The following is a 16,148-nucleotide window of genomic DNA, read 5'->3' on the forward strand; positions in this document are numbered from 1 at the left end:
AGTCTCTATTTGAGTCCATACTAACCTTCCTGCCACATAAAATTTTAAAAAGAAATTCTTTGTTTCTTGGTTGGACTCATGACACACATTTTCATTATTCATGGATTACTTGCCTTTTATCTTGTTAGGGAATACATTTTTGAGTGTGGTCTTCAAACCAAGATATTGTACTTGCGAAGAAGGTTTTATAGGTATGCTTGCTCTGACTGAGTCTTACAAGAATAATTTTCCAGATTCTTGACTTCACATGTACCCTTTTTTAAAACAGATCTGCCTGAGAACATATCTGTGATGGAGAAATATCTCTTCTCACCTTTCACAACCACTCCTTTCTATTTGATAGAAAAGAAAGGTTTAACCCCGACTTAACCCTACATTTAGTATGTGGAATTACCTCTTGGGGCTAAAACTTCCAGATAAGCCAATTAAAACATAATTTAACATATTGTACAGCATACAGGTGTTGATTCCATGAAATATAGATCTTTGTAGTCAAATGGTTTACAAAATTTTGTTTTTAAAAGAAGTGATTGAAAGCCCCATTCTAGGCCAGGGACGGTGGCTCCCGCCTGTAATCCCAGCACTTTGGTAGGCCGAGGCAGGCAGATGACCCGAGGTCAGTCAGGAGTTTGAGACCACCCTGGCCAATGTGGCGAAACCCCGCCTCACCTAAAAATACAAAAATTAGCCGGGCATGGAGGTGAGCATCTGTAATCCCAGCTACTAGAGAGGCTGAGGCACGAGAACCGCTGGAACCTGGAAGGCGGAGAATACAGTCAGCCGAGATTGCACCAAGTCTGGGCAATAAGAGCAAGTCTTTGTCTCAAAAAAAAAAAAAAAAATTCAGGCATTCAGTAATATAATTACCTTACTAAATGACTGAGGTGTTTCTTTTTGTTTGTTTGTTTTGTTTTGTTTTCGAGACGGAGTCTTGCTCTGTAGCCCAGCTGGAGTGCAGTGGCGATCTCGGCTCACTGCAACCTCCGCCTCTCGGGTTCAAGTAATTCCCCTGCCTCAGCCTACCAAGTAGCTGGCACTACAGGTGCGTGCCACCACGTCCAGCCAATTTGTTGGTATTTTTAGTAGAGACAGGGTTTTACCATATTGGCCAGGCTGGTCTCGAACTCCTAACCTCATGATTTGTCCGCCTCAGCCTTCCAAAGTGCTGAGATTATAGGAATGAGCCACCGCGCCTGGCTGGTTTATATGGTCTTGATCATATTTAACAATTACTTCCTTTTATTATTTTACTTAATTTTTAGTAAATGACTAGTAAATATTATCTGAATAATTTTTCATATTTATTGACATTATCACGTCTTTATCTTCCTTTTTTTTGAAATAATGAATTAGGACAATAACTTCTCTCATGATGAATGCTCCTGAATTAGAGGTCTGTGTCTTACTTGGTCTTTGGAAATAATTCTTCTGATATACTGCCAAATGACAAACTCCATTTGTTGTACTTTATAGTTTTTGACCTACATCAATCATCAGTTTGTTTTCAGACTATCTTTATCATTTTTAGTATTAATAGTATGCTAGTAAGATAGAATTTATGACAGACCTTTTTTCATTTTGTCTGATCTAAAATATTTTAAATAGCACTCAGAATTATGAACTTGACAAGAAATTTAAGTGCAAAGCCACTCAAAAGTTCTCAGAAGAGACTTATTTTTGCGGATCGTTGAACAAATAGTTATTTTTAATTTTTAATTGCTGTTTTCTGTAATTCATTGGGATTTTCTTGAGGCACAGAAAGTGTTCTCTTTTGTTTACTTAGTGCCAATAGATCACGGAAGTTAATACCTTCCAAGAAGTTTGGCTGTCACTCCAAGATTGGAATGCAAGACGTGGGTCAAGCTTATGTGTGCTATTTGTCAATTGACATTTCCTAAGCCATTGAGAAGACGTTGCCTGAATCTGAGGGAGTTCACATAAATATCCATGCTGCCTAAAAAAAAAAAAAAAAAAAAAAAACCTCAGTAAAGACATCTTGGAAAATTCCAGAAAAATAATGAAGAAGAATGTAATTAAACTTGCCAAATACTGTTAGTTATTTGTAATTACATATATATATATATATATAGAACAAATAAAGTACATTTTATTTAAAATATATTCTGAATTTTTAAAATCTATTTGAATGGTGTAAGGCTAGATCAGTTTAAAGAACTACCATGAAAGTATTCCACTAAACAAATCATCCATACTAAAATAAAGCTTCTCTACAACCAAAATGAGTTAAGAATTTTCTTACATAGTTTTATGAAATTTGATCTTGGTTGAAATATAATACCATAGATTAAAATAGATACAGGTACTATTCATAATTGTATTAAATTATTTGTTTAATCATGGTAATAAATGATCTGAAAAATGGTATTCTGTAAATCATAGTCCTAAGCACATATATGTCATTTTGTATTTGATAAATTTAATTAATTGTAATTTATTTTACTTAAATATTCTCTCATTACAATTTTTAAAATCCAAAAACATAATGGAAAGCGCTGTGTTAACTGCTTGTCATTTGTAAACTAAAACGCTGTGTGGCACTTTCAGTGCATTCCAGTGTCAGAGAAGTCAGGTAAGTAAGTTAATTATTTTTGCCTGTTCACGTGTTTCAAATATTATGTTAAATATTCCACCAATACTTTGATTTACCTGGCTTACTACCGAGGCAGGTCACAGTATGAGGAATTCAATTCCTTCATGAAGTTGCTCAAAAAACTTTACTCAGCTCAGATATGATGAAATATACTTCTTTCATATGTATATACTGAAATAACTTTCGGAACGCATAATATGATGTATGTGAGGCAACAAGCTTTATTTTCTGGACCACTTTTTTACTTACTTCAACCAGCAAAGGCAGCATGTACTTTGATTAATCTGAAATACACAAATATTGGAACAAACAAGCTTCTTAAACCATTATAGGAACAGCAACGAAGCATGCCCCTAGCTCAGTGGTTTTGTTCTTCCTTCCAAATGAAGTGTTCTTCTAGATAAATGAGGACTCTTTCCCATACTTCATTCAGATTTTGGTTAAATATTACTTTCAGAGAGGAAACATCCCTCTGCAACTAACCTCATGTGCCTATTTTATTTTAAAATTTAAACAAAAATTAAATTAAAATTTAAAAATTTTGTCTTCTATCTCACTTTTGATATCAAATGTAACTAGTAGCTTTCATATTAGATAGAGCATATAAAATATTTCCACTATTACAGAGAATTCTACTGAATAATTCTCCCCTATTCTCTTAACCTACTTCATTTATATGGAAAATTCTTATCACTATCTGATATTACATTATATATCTTTTTATTTCTAATCATTTGTTTTCATTATAATGGGAAACCTTACTTTAGTTACCAGGCTTCCTACTATCTAAAACAGCGCTTAGTGCAGAGATATTGCCCGGTAAATATTTGTAGAATAAAAGGCCAGAAATTACTCATTTTCCTTGTATTTTCTAGCATCTCTTTGCTACCATTACCTGGTAAAACAGGCATGAACTATGCCCTTTGCCATTTTAGTCTAGAACATACAGAAGAGGACATTTTCCTGGCTTTTTAATATTTATTTATTTCTATTTCATTTATTTATTTTATTTTTAATTTTTGTGGCTACATAGTAGGTTTATATATTTATGGGGTACATGGGATGTTTTAATACAGGCATATAATATGAAATAAGCAAATCATGGAGAATGTGGTATCGATCCCCTCAAGCATTTATCCTTTGAGTTCCAAACACTCCAATTATACTCTTTATTTTTAAATGTGCAACTAAGCTATTAGTGACTATAGTCACGCTGCTGTCTTATCACATAGTAAGTCTTACTCATTCTTTCTCTTTTTTGGGGGGGCGTACCCATTTATTTTTGCTTGGTCTTTTAAGTCTAGAGCACAACAGTAGTGAAAAGAAAAATGTATAAAAAATACAAGAAACCAATGTAAATTTCAAAACAAATAAAATAACCTACCTTGTAGATTTAAGTTTTTGAACTTCCTGCTCTTTCTACAGATCATGGCTAAATTATACGTCCATGATGAATTTTTGAACTCCTATCAAAAGTGTAATTAAGGCCTGGCGCAGTGGCACACGCCTGCCTGTAATCCCAGCACTTTGAGAGGCCAAGCTGGGCAGATCACAAGGTCAGGAGATCGAGACCATCCTGGCTAACACGGTGAAGCCCCATCTCTACTAAAAATACAAAAAATTAGCCGGGCATGGTGGCGGGCTCCTGTGGTCCCAGCTGCTTGGGAGGCTGAGGCCGGAGAATGGCCTGAACCTGGGAGGCAGAGCTTGCAGTGAACCAAGATCGCTCCACGCACTCCAGCCTTGGTGACAGAGCAAGACTTCGTCAAAAAAAAAAAAAAGAATAATTAATAGAAATCATAGGAAGGAGGGCATCCCTTAAGCTAACTTGGTGTTATAATATTCTTAAAGAAAAAGCAATGCAAATGAATAAAACAAGACAACAACTAAGTAAATTTAGAAAATAAAGTTAGTTTTCAGGCATCAGCGTTTAAAAAAATATATGGTGTGCCTGAAAAGAATAATGAAAAACTGAGGCAAAATAGGATCTGCTTTACTCAAGAACTCCTTGCTATTTTTCTGAAGTCTAAAGGTGATTTGATTTAAAAAGGGAGGAAATAAAGAGCTCACACAAATTGCTATATATCTGTTGAGTAGTAATATTTCATAAATGCATTTCTTTATAAAATTCCGTTAAAGAAAATGCAAAATATTATCTTCCAAGATCAAACTTAATCTAACAATAGAAAATTACATATTAATTCCTTTAAATTAGTATACCCCAAGAAAGATAAAAGAACTTTTAGATTATAGTAAAATCACTGCTAATGACAGAAAAATAACTTCGTTTGAAAACTCACACTGAAGTCTTAGCACATCAGTTTGGTCTAACAAAAACAGTGCAGATTTTCAAACTAGACAAACCTAGATTTAGTAGCTTGATAAATATCTATAAGCAAGTAAGTGATTTAAGCAATTTAATCTCTCTGAGCATAAATTTAGAAAGAAATTAATTAAGCCAATATTTATTAAAATTTTTTATTGGATGGCCTTATGCTCATTTACAGAATTTACTTGTGAGAACGCACATAGACTTTGCTTTGATCAGGTTTATAGTCTTATTCAATAATTAATGTGATAAATATAATTAGAAGTCCACTGCTAGTCATTGAGGAAAAACAAGGTTCAGGCTTAACCTCCCCTTATAAACAACTAGAAATCTCTGCAAAATATATAAAATAATACTTTTAAAAATATTAAACAAAAAGCATACAACTCTAAGTACAAATAGAAGAGAAACATAGTGAATATTAAGTCAAGCACTATGTGTGTATATTTTTATTAATTAAGGCAATTTTAAGACTGTACACACAAGAAATGAAAAAGAAAACAGAGCTTGGCAGACCTTCTAACTTGAGGTGTCAGAGTTAGTAGTGTCAGGATGCTCAGGTAATTGAAAATTGCAGGCTAGAGTTCTAGAAAGGAGAAATTACTCAGAAAAAGACCTCTACATATGGAGTCCCTTTTATTTTCTGTGTACTAGGTCCCTCTTCTTTGAAGTATAACTCCACAAGACAATCACAATAATAGCAGTAAGACTGTCGTGATCATCTGGATAACATAGTGGATACTCCAGAAGGGACATATATTAATAGTAGTGGCCTTGAATTGAACACTACTTTGGACCCTTCTTAGGAAAACTAAATACTAAGTCTAAAATAGATCAAAACAATCAGAAAAAAAAAGGCTGATTTTTTTTTTAAAGTCCAATGGGAAATTACATAAAAACAACATACAGCATAAACATGATGTAACTCATTGATGTGATAATTCATTGATGTGATAATTCATTAACATAACTCATAGTGCATAATGTCAGATCACAAATTATTAGACATGCCAAGAGAAAAATATATGACCAAAGCTAGGAATATTATCACTCAATAGAATCAACAACAAAAAAAGAGAGAGATGATGTAACCAGCAGAAAAAGATGTTTTACAGGGCTATGCATACTAAAATTGTAGAAAACCAAATATCTACAGTTAAAGGTTGACATTTTAAAGCTCTCTCTAACATTCATATAGCTAAAAGACAAAAAAGAATACGTATAGATATATTAATAGCTGTAGAAGTCTTGAACAATAGAATAAACAAAGAAAACCTAATTGTCATTTAAGAAACATTTCACACCACAGCAGCAGAAGACATACTCTTTTCAGGTGCACGGAAAACATTCAACAAAACAAACCATATAGTGGAACATAAAACATATAGCTAAAGAAATAAAACATACAAAGGAACCAGATGGAAATTTGAGAGTTAAAAAAGAAAATGGCTGTAATAACAATATTTTTGTAGAAACTTAAAAGTTAATTAGGCACTACAAAAGAAACATATAGTAAACTTGAAAATAAAGTAATAATATATATCAAAAATAAAGAACGAGAGAAGAAAATGAGAAAGGAAAAAAGTTTCAGTGATTCAGTTACCTGAGGTAAATTATCAAATATTTTTGCACATGCAATTGGAATTGTTAAAGAAATGAGAGTCGTGATGATGAGGAGAATATATTTGAATAAATAAAGTGTAATTACATATTTCCATGATGTTTAACAAATGTAAGTAGTATATACACGGAAAATAATACCACAAGAACCATCATAATTAAAATGTTAAAAAACAGTGAGAATTCCCCATAAAACTCCATATTACCTATAGAAAAAAAGTACAATATGAATGACAGTTAACTTTTAATATCAAACAATGCAATCCAGAAGATAATAAAAATAAAGTCTTCGTGTGCTGAAAGAAGAAATTTGTTCAAGTAGACTTTTATATACAGCAAATATATCCATAAATAAGGTGAAATAAAAAAAGAAAGGTTAAAAAAATTGATGCTAGCAGACAAATTATATTAAAGTAAATGTAAAACAGGTTTTTTTAACTTTAAACATTTTTCCAAAATATTATCAATTGTTTAAATGCATTGTGTGTTTTATATCTTATGAAGAAGCAACATACAGTACTATTATAGCACAAGATTCAAGAAGTGAGAAATGAAATTATACCCTTTTAAGTGTCACGCACAGAAAATTAAATGGTATAACATAATAGAAGGGATACTGTGATTAAAATGCATATTGTAAATCCCAAAGAAAAAATGAAAATACAATAAAATACATAGTTAATAAGCAATCAAATACCAAAATATACTAAATTAATGCAAAAGAAAATAGAAAATGAAAAATGAGGATACAATTTTAAAAAACTGTATGGTAGATATGAATTTATATGTACAGTTAAAATGGGTGGAAATAGACTAAAGATTATAATTAAAATACAGAGATGGTCATACTAGATATAAAAAGAAAGACCAACCACTTGCTGTATGCATAAACTCAACTGAAATATAAAGACATACATAGGACCAAAATAAAATATGGGAAAAGTTATATTATGCAAAGTGTAAAAAAGCCACAGTGGCTACATTACTATAAGACAATACAGTCTTAGAAAATAAGAAAAAAAGAGGAGAATTTCACAATGAGAAAGATAACAAGTCAATAAGAAGACATAACAATTTTGTATGTCCCCCAACAATGATGTCAAAATATATAAAGTAAAAACTGATGTAACCTAGAACAGACAAATGCACAATTGTAACTACGTATTTTAATAACACTCTTCCCATATTTATACACCACACCTACAGAAAATCACTTAGGTTATAAAAGAACTAAACAACATAATGAACAAATTGAGCATAATTAACATTTATTAACAGTTTATACAATAACAGAATACATGCTCTTTTTCCAGTGAACATAGTATTTTCAACAAAATAGACCATATGAAGTATTATAGAGGAACTCTCAACAATTTTTAAAGATTATTATGCAGTATATGAACTATGATCACATTGACTTTGGGTTGATAATTAACAAAAATTTTTTTTAAAAAAACTGTTGTTTAGAAAGTGAGCAACACATCTCTAAATTACATATGCTTCAAAAGATAAAACAAAAATGCTTAACAACTATTCTGAACTTAACAAAAATTAAACACAACATATTCAAATTTGCTTAGAAAACTACAATGCTAAATAGAAGCAGAAACAGAAAACAACTTTGTTTTATTGCTATTCAACATTATAGTTGAAGGCATCCCCAGTTTAACAAGGTAATGAAAAAATAAAATGCATACAGAATGTAAAGAAAGATGTAAAACTCTCTTAGCTCATAGAAAAAATGACTCTATATGTAGATAGCATTAAAAAAAGCCAATAGAAATAAGAAGTGATTTAGTAAGATTAGGAAATAAAAGGTTACTACTCATATATCAACTGTTTTTAGTATATTTAGAAAAAACACAATTAGAAAGTTAAGTTAAATATAACATTACTTATAAGAGTATAAAATATGAAATAAATATGGTTACATGTAATAATATGTACAAGAACTTTATTTTAAAGTGCTACAAATATTACTAGGTGAAATAAAAGAAGAAATAATAGGAGAGATATATCATGTTCATGGATAGGAAGACTGAATACCATTAATGTTTCCCGAAACTGTTCTACAGATCCATTGTAATCTAGGTCAAAATTTTAAGAAGGTTTACCTACAGAAACGTATAAGCTGATTCTAAAATATATATGTAAGCACAAAGAGTGTGTAATAACTAATATAATTTTGAAAATGAAGAATAAAGTTGGGTGATTTCTTCTTCTTGATTTCAAGTCTTAAAATATGTTGCAGTAATTAAAGCAGTGTTAAATTATCATAAATATAGATATAGATAGGTAAATGCATACTGGTTTTAGAATACAGTCTGGAAACACACATATACACAGTCAATTGATTTGCAAAATGAGCACAGCTAAGTTAATAAGAAAGCAATTTTCAACAAATGGTGCTAAAATAGTAGAAACCAGACTATCTTAATTTTTAATCTATACTTGAGCATACAAATTAACTCAAAATGTGTCATAGACTAAAATTTTTGAATGCTAAACCCCAAAATTATCTGATATTGTAGAATATGTTGGAGTATCTCTTTGCAAACTTGGGGTAGTCAAACATTTAATTTAGTAACATAATGCTGAAACATTAAAAAAACTGATAAAATGGTCTTTGCAAAAATGTAAAGCTTCTATTTTTAAAAAAATAAGGTTAGAGAAATTAAAATGCAATCCACAGGCTAAACATATGTGTTCCTGTGTAAAGAATTCTTAAAACTCACAGATGTGAAAATAAGTAGTGCAATAAAAAATATGTAAAATATTTTAAATAAAAACATTACTAGGATCATGACCAATATACATGCAGTTATGCATCATTTAATAAGGGTGATGTATTCTAAGAAATGTGTTGTGTGGCCATGTCATCATTATGTAAACATCATAGACCATACTTATCCGAAACTAGATGGTATAGCCTATTATACACCTAGGCTATATGGTTCTATTGCTCCTGGGCTACAAACCTGTACAGCATATTACGATACTGAATACTGTAGGCAATGGTAATAGAATGGTAAGTATTTGTGTATCCAAACATATTTGAATATTGAAAATGCATAGTAACAATGTGGTATTATAATCTTATGGGATCATCATTGTATACAGTCAATCACTGACCAAAATGTTTGGTGACACATGATGGTATAAAAAGATGTAAAACCCCATTATTCATCAGGAAAATGGAAATTAAAATCACAAGACAATATGACTGCTTGCCCACGAGAAAGGGTGGACTAGAATGCCAAGCAACACTACTGGTGGGACTATTAAATGGTACAAACACTTTGGAAATAAAGTTTTAAAATTTCTTATTCAGTTAAACATAGTATCCCAAATTGAAATAACCCAAATACGCATTAAGGAATTGAATGGCAAAACAAATTGTGGTACATCCACTCAATGGCATACTACTCGCAAATTAAAAGGAAAGTAATACTGATACAGATGTAGACTTGGATCATTATCAAAGTCATATTTGGATCCAAAACATTGCATTATCTGCTGCAAAGATTTCCTTTCTCACCACCCATAGCACCATTTATTTCTTACCTTCTATCTCTGATGTATCTTTTGTTATCTCCATCTGTCACTGAAATTTTTCTTGAAGTAGTATCAGCACTTCAATATCAATATCGATATATAAACTGGATCAGTATCAAAGTCATTTTTTGGATCCAAACCACTGTATCATATGCTGCAAAGATTTCTTTTCTCACCACCTATAGCACCATTTATTTTTTTTTTATTTTTATTTATTTATTTTTTTTGAGACGGAGTTTCGCTCTGTCGCCCATGCTGGAGTGCAGTGGCGCGATCTCGACTCACTGCAAGCTCCGCCTCCCGGGTTCACGCCATTCTCCTGCCTCAGCCTCCCGTGTAGCTGGGACTACAGGCGCGCGCCACCATGCCCGGCTAATTTTTGTATTTTTAGTAGAGACGGGGTTTCACCGTGTTAGCCAGGATGGTCTCGATCTCCTGACCTCGTGATCCGCCCGTCTCGGCCTCCCAAAGTGCTGGGATTACAGGCGTGAGCCACCGCGCCCGGCCACCATTTATTTTTTGCCTTCTACTTCTGATGTAGCTCCTGTTATATCCATCTGTCACTGAAATTTTTCTTGAAGTAGTATCAGCTCACCAGGACTGTGACATTTCTGGGATGATTGCCTTTGTCTTTGCTGTTTCTGCCATTTCTTCAGATATATTCATTTCTCCTCTGCTCCGTTCTGTCTTTATCTGCCACGACTGCCATTTCAATTACCAGCACTAACTCTGCTACTTAGAACAATGAAAATCAACATTGTCTGTCTCTGTATGTACCTTCATTCTCAAATTCACTCAACGCTGGCTCCACAGCACCCATAAATTTTTCTTAAATGTTTTGAACAGCTGACTTTATTTCAGTTTATATAATTATGAGGTTATTAATTAAATTATATATACCTATAATTGGTAATTAAATGTACCATGAATCTAAATAGCTGTTGCTTCTTTAAAATGAAGCAGTGGATGATAATATATGCTCTGAATCAAATATTAGTTTTTTTACTTTTAATTTTGTTCCATCACTTATTGGTAGTGAGATGACTGGTAAGATAGTTTACCTCTTTAGCCTGTTTTAACATTTGTAAGTTGTTCTTAGCCTCACAAGGTTGTACAAAGATGTTTAAAGCATTTAGCAAAGTTCCTGGAAAACTGTTAATTTTAGATTAAAATATTTCAGTATTATCTTTAATTTCTTTTTCTCTTTCGCCCCTAAAATATAACCACCATTTTCTCTAATTTGAAAAAAGACTAACTCTGTTGCTTTTACCATTTCCTTCATTTAGGTCACCATCATGTTTCCTTTAGATTAACTTGCCTTTTGCTAAATTATTTCACAATGCTGCACCTACAATGTTCTTTCTGAGAAGCAAAATCACTAATGCCCCTCAATACAGAAATGCCAGTCAGGCTTTTTGTTAATAATCAATCTACAAGGAATGCATCCAGTTTGTGAAGTGCTTCAGGATGTAACCCATTTTTAACTTTTTCAGTCTCCCATTCTATCCTCACTCCCTACACTTTATCTGCAGCCATATTGAATGAACTCATTCCTTTTCTTATGTTATTTCCTCTGACTGGAAACCTTTAGTGTCTTCTCTTTACCTGGTTGATTCCTAGTAATCCTCACTGTCACTTCATTTGAGATGCACTAACATTGGATACAAGGTCGAAAGTTCCAGTTTTATATTCCTGAATTTTCCACCAAAGGGTTGTAGGGCTTGACATTAATATTATCATTTAGTCAAATGACACCTCCAATAGATTGCATGATTTATGAGAATAGAGACCACATCTAACTTCCAGTGGGTAGCATCTACCATAAGACTTGGTACACAGCATACAGCTAATAGTCAACAAATACAAGTGTGATATATTCTTGTTAACTAAGGATAATTCTAATAAAAAGAATCCCAGAAACCTTTGAAGTTATCACTCCATAAAATTACCTTTTTTGCCAAGTTATTATCATCATGAGATTTTTCCAGGCTCTGTCTTTGCCACTTGCTAGAGATGCACCTATTTCCTTTTAGGACCTCCCATGGCTATCTTTGTGTTTTGATTCTATAATCTTTTATCATACTCTGTAACTTATTTTATAGTTAAAATATTAAAGGCAGAAGACCTCTGGACTTAAGTGTGTGAACTTATTAGTCCCAGATCTATTTTTTTTTCTATTTAACAGGCAATTAAATTCAGTTTCATATTCAACAGATAGAGGTTGATTAATTGTTGACCCAAAATGAAATTATTCAGTTATTAAATATCAGTAATATTTGTTAAAAGAATATGCAGTCGACCCTTGAAGCTATCAAAAACCAGTCATGTAACCACTGACTCCCCAAAACTTAACAACTAGTTACCTACTGTTAACAAAAAGACTTACTGATAACCTCTCTTTTAACACATATTTTGTGTATGTATTACAAACTGTATTCTTACAGTTGAGTTAGCAAGATAAAAGGAATATCATTAAGAAAATCAGTAGGAAGAGAAAATATATATTTTTATTTATTAAGTGGAAGTGAATCATCATAAAGGTCTTCATCCTCATAATCTTCAGTTTAGTAGGCTGAGGAGGAGGAGAAAGAGAAGGGGTTGGTCTTGGAGCCTCAGGATGGCAGAGACAGAAGAAAATCTATGTATAAGTTGACATGCACAATTCAAACCTGTGTTGTTCAAGGGTTAACTGTAACGTAGGTTCTTCTTTATGAGGTGATATATTCTACTAAGCCAAAGTTATATTTTTTTGTTTGCTTGTTTATTTTGGCTTAAACAACAGACCTTTATTTTCTCACAGTTGAAGAGGTTGGGAAGTACAAGATCAAGGTGTCATATGATGCACTTTCTGGTGTGACTTGCAGATGGTCTCTTTTATGTGACTGCAGAGAGAAAGGAAAAGAAGATCTGCTGGTGTCTCTTCTTATAAGGAAAAATACTAAACCATTAGGTTTGGGCCCCACTCGATCACCTCATTTAAGCCTAATTCCCTCCTTGTAGAATGTATCTCCAAATACAGTCACATTGGGGGTTAAGGCTTTAATACATACATTTTGAAGGAACACAATGCAGTCCACAGCAGAATGGAAGCTGTAAGCAATGGAACAACCTCCCAGGGAAACAGTGGGGATCATTCCTGGGGAAATAAAAGGTCACTGGACTTGTCCAGTTCCTCAATATATTGTAGGCCTCCTCCTGAGCTTTTGGAGATGCGTGGAAGTGAAGGGCACAATAAAAGTCTTAAATTAGAAGAAAATGTGCATAATAGCATATGCACATAAATATATGCATATATTCTTCAGAAACATGTATTGTATAAATCATAATAACATAAAACATTTTGGAGTATTATTTTATAGGCATTCAGTTATATTAGATAACATTAATAAATCCACATTTTGTTGTAAATTATCTTTTTTATTTAAAATGATATGTTCTATTTGTATTTACATATTTAATTCACACAAACAAAACACAGAACATTACTTACCATAGTAGAAATAATATATTTTTTGTTAATTTTATTATCAAGTATGTTTGAACTCAATAGAAGCCTATTCTGCTTGCTTCTGTAGCCCTAGAATGCATAATATTTAATCATCTAATATAGCTTTTCAGTTAAGCTTTTAAGATTACAGATGTGTTTTCCTTTTATGCAATTACTAATCAACTTTTCCCTCTTCTTCGTTTTGTCTGATTCAAGTTCATTTTAAGTCGTGTGGGCCTTGATTTACTCATTTTTTTAAATTAAACAAAGTTAGCAGAGGAAAAACACAATGAACAAGTTTTATTTTCTTTAATATGTAAAATCTTTTCGTGAGTGGTTGGCAGTTCAAAGAATGCCGTTATACTCTGAAATTTTGAAGCAATTGCTCTTTAAGGCAAAAAAGTGATAATAGACACAATGTCACAATATTTTTAAGTTCATTTAACATATTATTAACTAATATATCTGTTGTCCTATAATCCTAGAACTTTATATACCCACCGTATTTCTCATCTACTTTGTTTTTTCTAAAAGTAAAAATTAATTCATCCATATTTGTCACTCTTTAAAAGTATGTCTCAATATTAAAGAAAATATTCTTCAGAGCAATGTGCTTTTATTTCTGAATTCTTGTGGGGATTTTATTGTACCCTAGAGATTTTTGAGATGCAGATATTTTAATTGCTTGACCACCTGTCTTTCCTAAACTTCGGTTATTCTTTTGCTCTTGGGAATTGTACGTAAATTTCCAGCATCTGTTCTTAATCTGTTTGGTAAATGCAAAGAGAAAGTATTCATTTAATTCCTCAAAGGCTATTCCCAACTCAATAATAACTACTGAAAACTTATGTGATTTCTTTTTAAAGTAATATACATTCTATATGGTTTCAAATTTATTCATATGCAAATTATGTCATTTACTCCATCAAAAATGATCAATCTTCAATGTCTATATAACAATAAGGACTGTGTTTCCAACTATTTGTATTATAAATTTAATGCTGAGGTTTTATATATGATCCAATTGTTTTTCTCCCCTATAATTTCATTTTTTTTTTTTGGTTGGGGATTTAAGGTAAACTATAACTTGATTTAAATTACATTGTTTAAACACTCAAAACTTGTTTGCCTCATGAATATTTGGGTTGGTTTGGTGAACATCTTCATCATATAAAATCTAAACATTTGCATTTCTCCCTATAATTTTCTTTTTTAATTTGTAAGAAATCATGAGGTATAGGTAAAATTATTTTTATTATACCTGTAAGGGAATTAAGGCTAACAATATAAAGACTTACCTCATAGTTGTGTACCTTTCTAGTAATGAGATAGGGATTCAAATCTAATACTGATTTACATCTTAGTTAATAAACCAGAGTAAGCAGTTGATGGATTACATTTCACTTTTTGTTTCCATCTTAATATAAATGTTTAGCTTTATATTCATAAAGAAATATCAAATTATAAAAAGATAATTTGGAAAATAATACTGAACAATTTCATGGAATATAATGCCCTATGTCTCCATATTCTCATAATATTCCTCAAGATAAACCCCTGTGTTTAGTGTATTGCTTCTAATAATAAATCCTTTTTTAATTATGTAAATGTTTCTGAGTTATTACCCTACCTGTTATAGTAAATTTGTGTATATATTACATAAATACAATAATATATTATATATAATATATAATTGTATATTAAATATATTGTATTTACATATTATATATGTAAACAATATTATGTATATATTATATATTGTCTATATACTATATATACAATGTATACATTACAGAGACAATAATATATTTATATATAATATACACACATTTACCATATCAACTTTTATAGTAAAATTATGTATTATAATTGTATATGTTTATATATAATTTGTAATATATAACATATAAGTTTATATATAAAATTTTTAATATATATTTATAATACATAATTTGTTACATGATTTAACTAAAAGACAAATAACAGTAATATAGCTGCAGCAACTAGTGGTTGTGGGTCAATAGATACAGCCAGTTTGTAACTCCAACTTACCTCTCTTATCAACCTGACTAGGGGCAAAGAGTAATAGTACATAGGGCTCTAAGTTTACCCTTTAAAATTTAATGTAGTATAAAACTTATTTTTTAAAATATAGTATGGTTTTCTATTACTAACATCTAAAACAAGCCCATGACAAATTATTAGAAAGAAAATGCAAAGAGCTTTTCAGTAAGGGGAACAGTTAAAAAAATTTAGAGATGTTTATATTTTTCTTTATTTGAATGATATTAAACAGGAATCAACTTAAAAAGGAATGAAAGGAGATATATTTTAAGACATTAGGAAAGTTTTCACAAAACCTTAAAACTGAAAAAATGAGCTATACACTTGGATATAATTATTGCAAAAATATTAATTATAAATTTAAATTAATTCCAATCAAAACTACAATACATCTTTGATATGGGTCGACTGTGTCCCCACCCAAATCTCATCTTGAATTCCCATGTGTTATGGGAGGGAGCCAGTGGGAGGTAACTGAATCA

Source organism: Homo sapiens, chromosome 6 (assembly GCF_000001405.40).
Source record: "Homo sapiens chromosome 6, GRCh38.p14 Primary Assembly".
NCBI classification, from domain to species: Eukaryota; Metazoa; Chordata; class Mammalia; order Primates; family Hominidae; genus Homo; species Homo sapiens.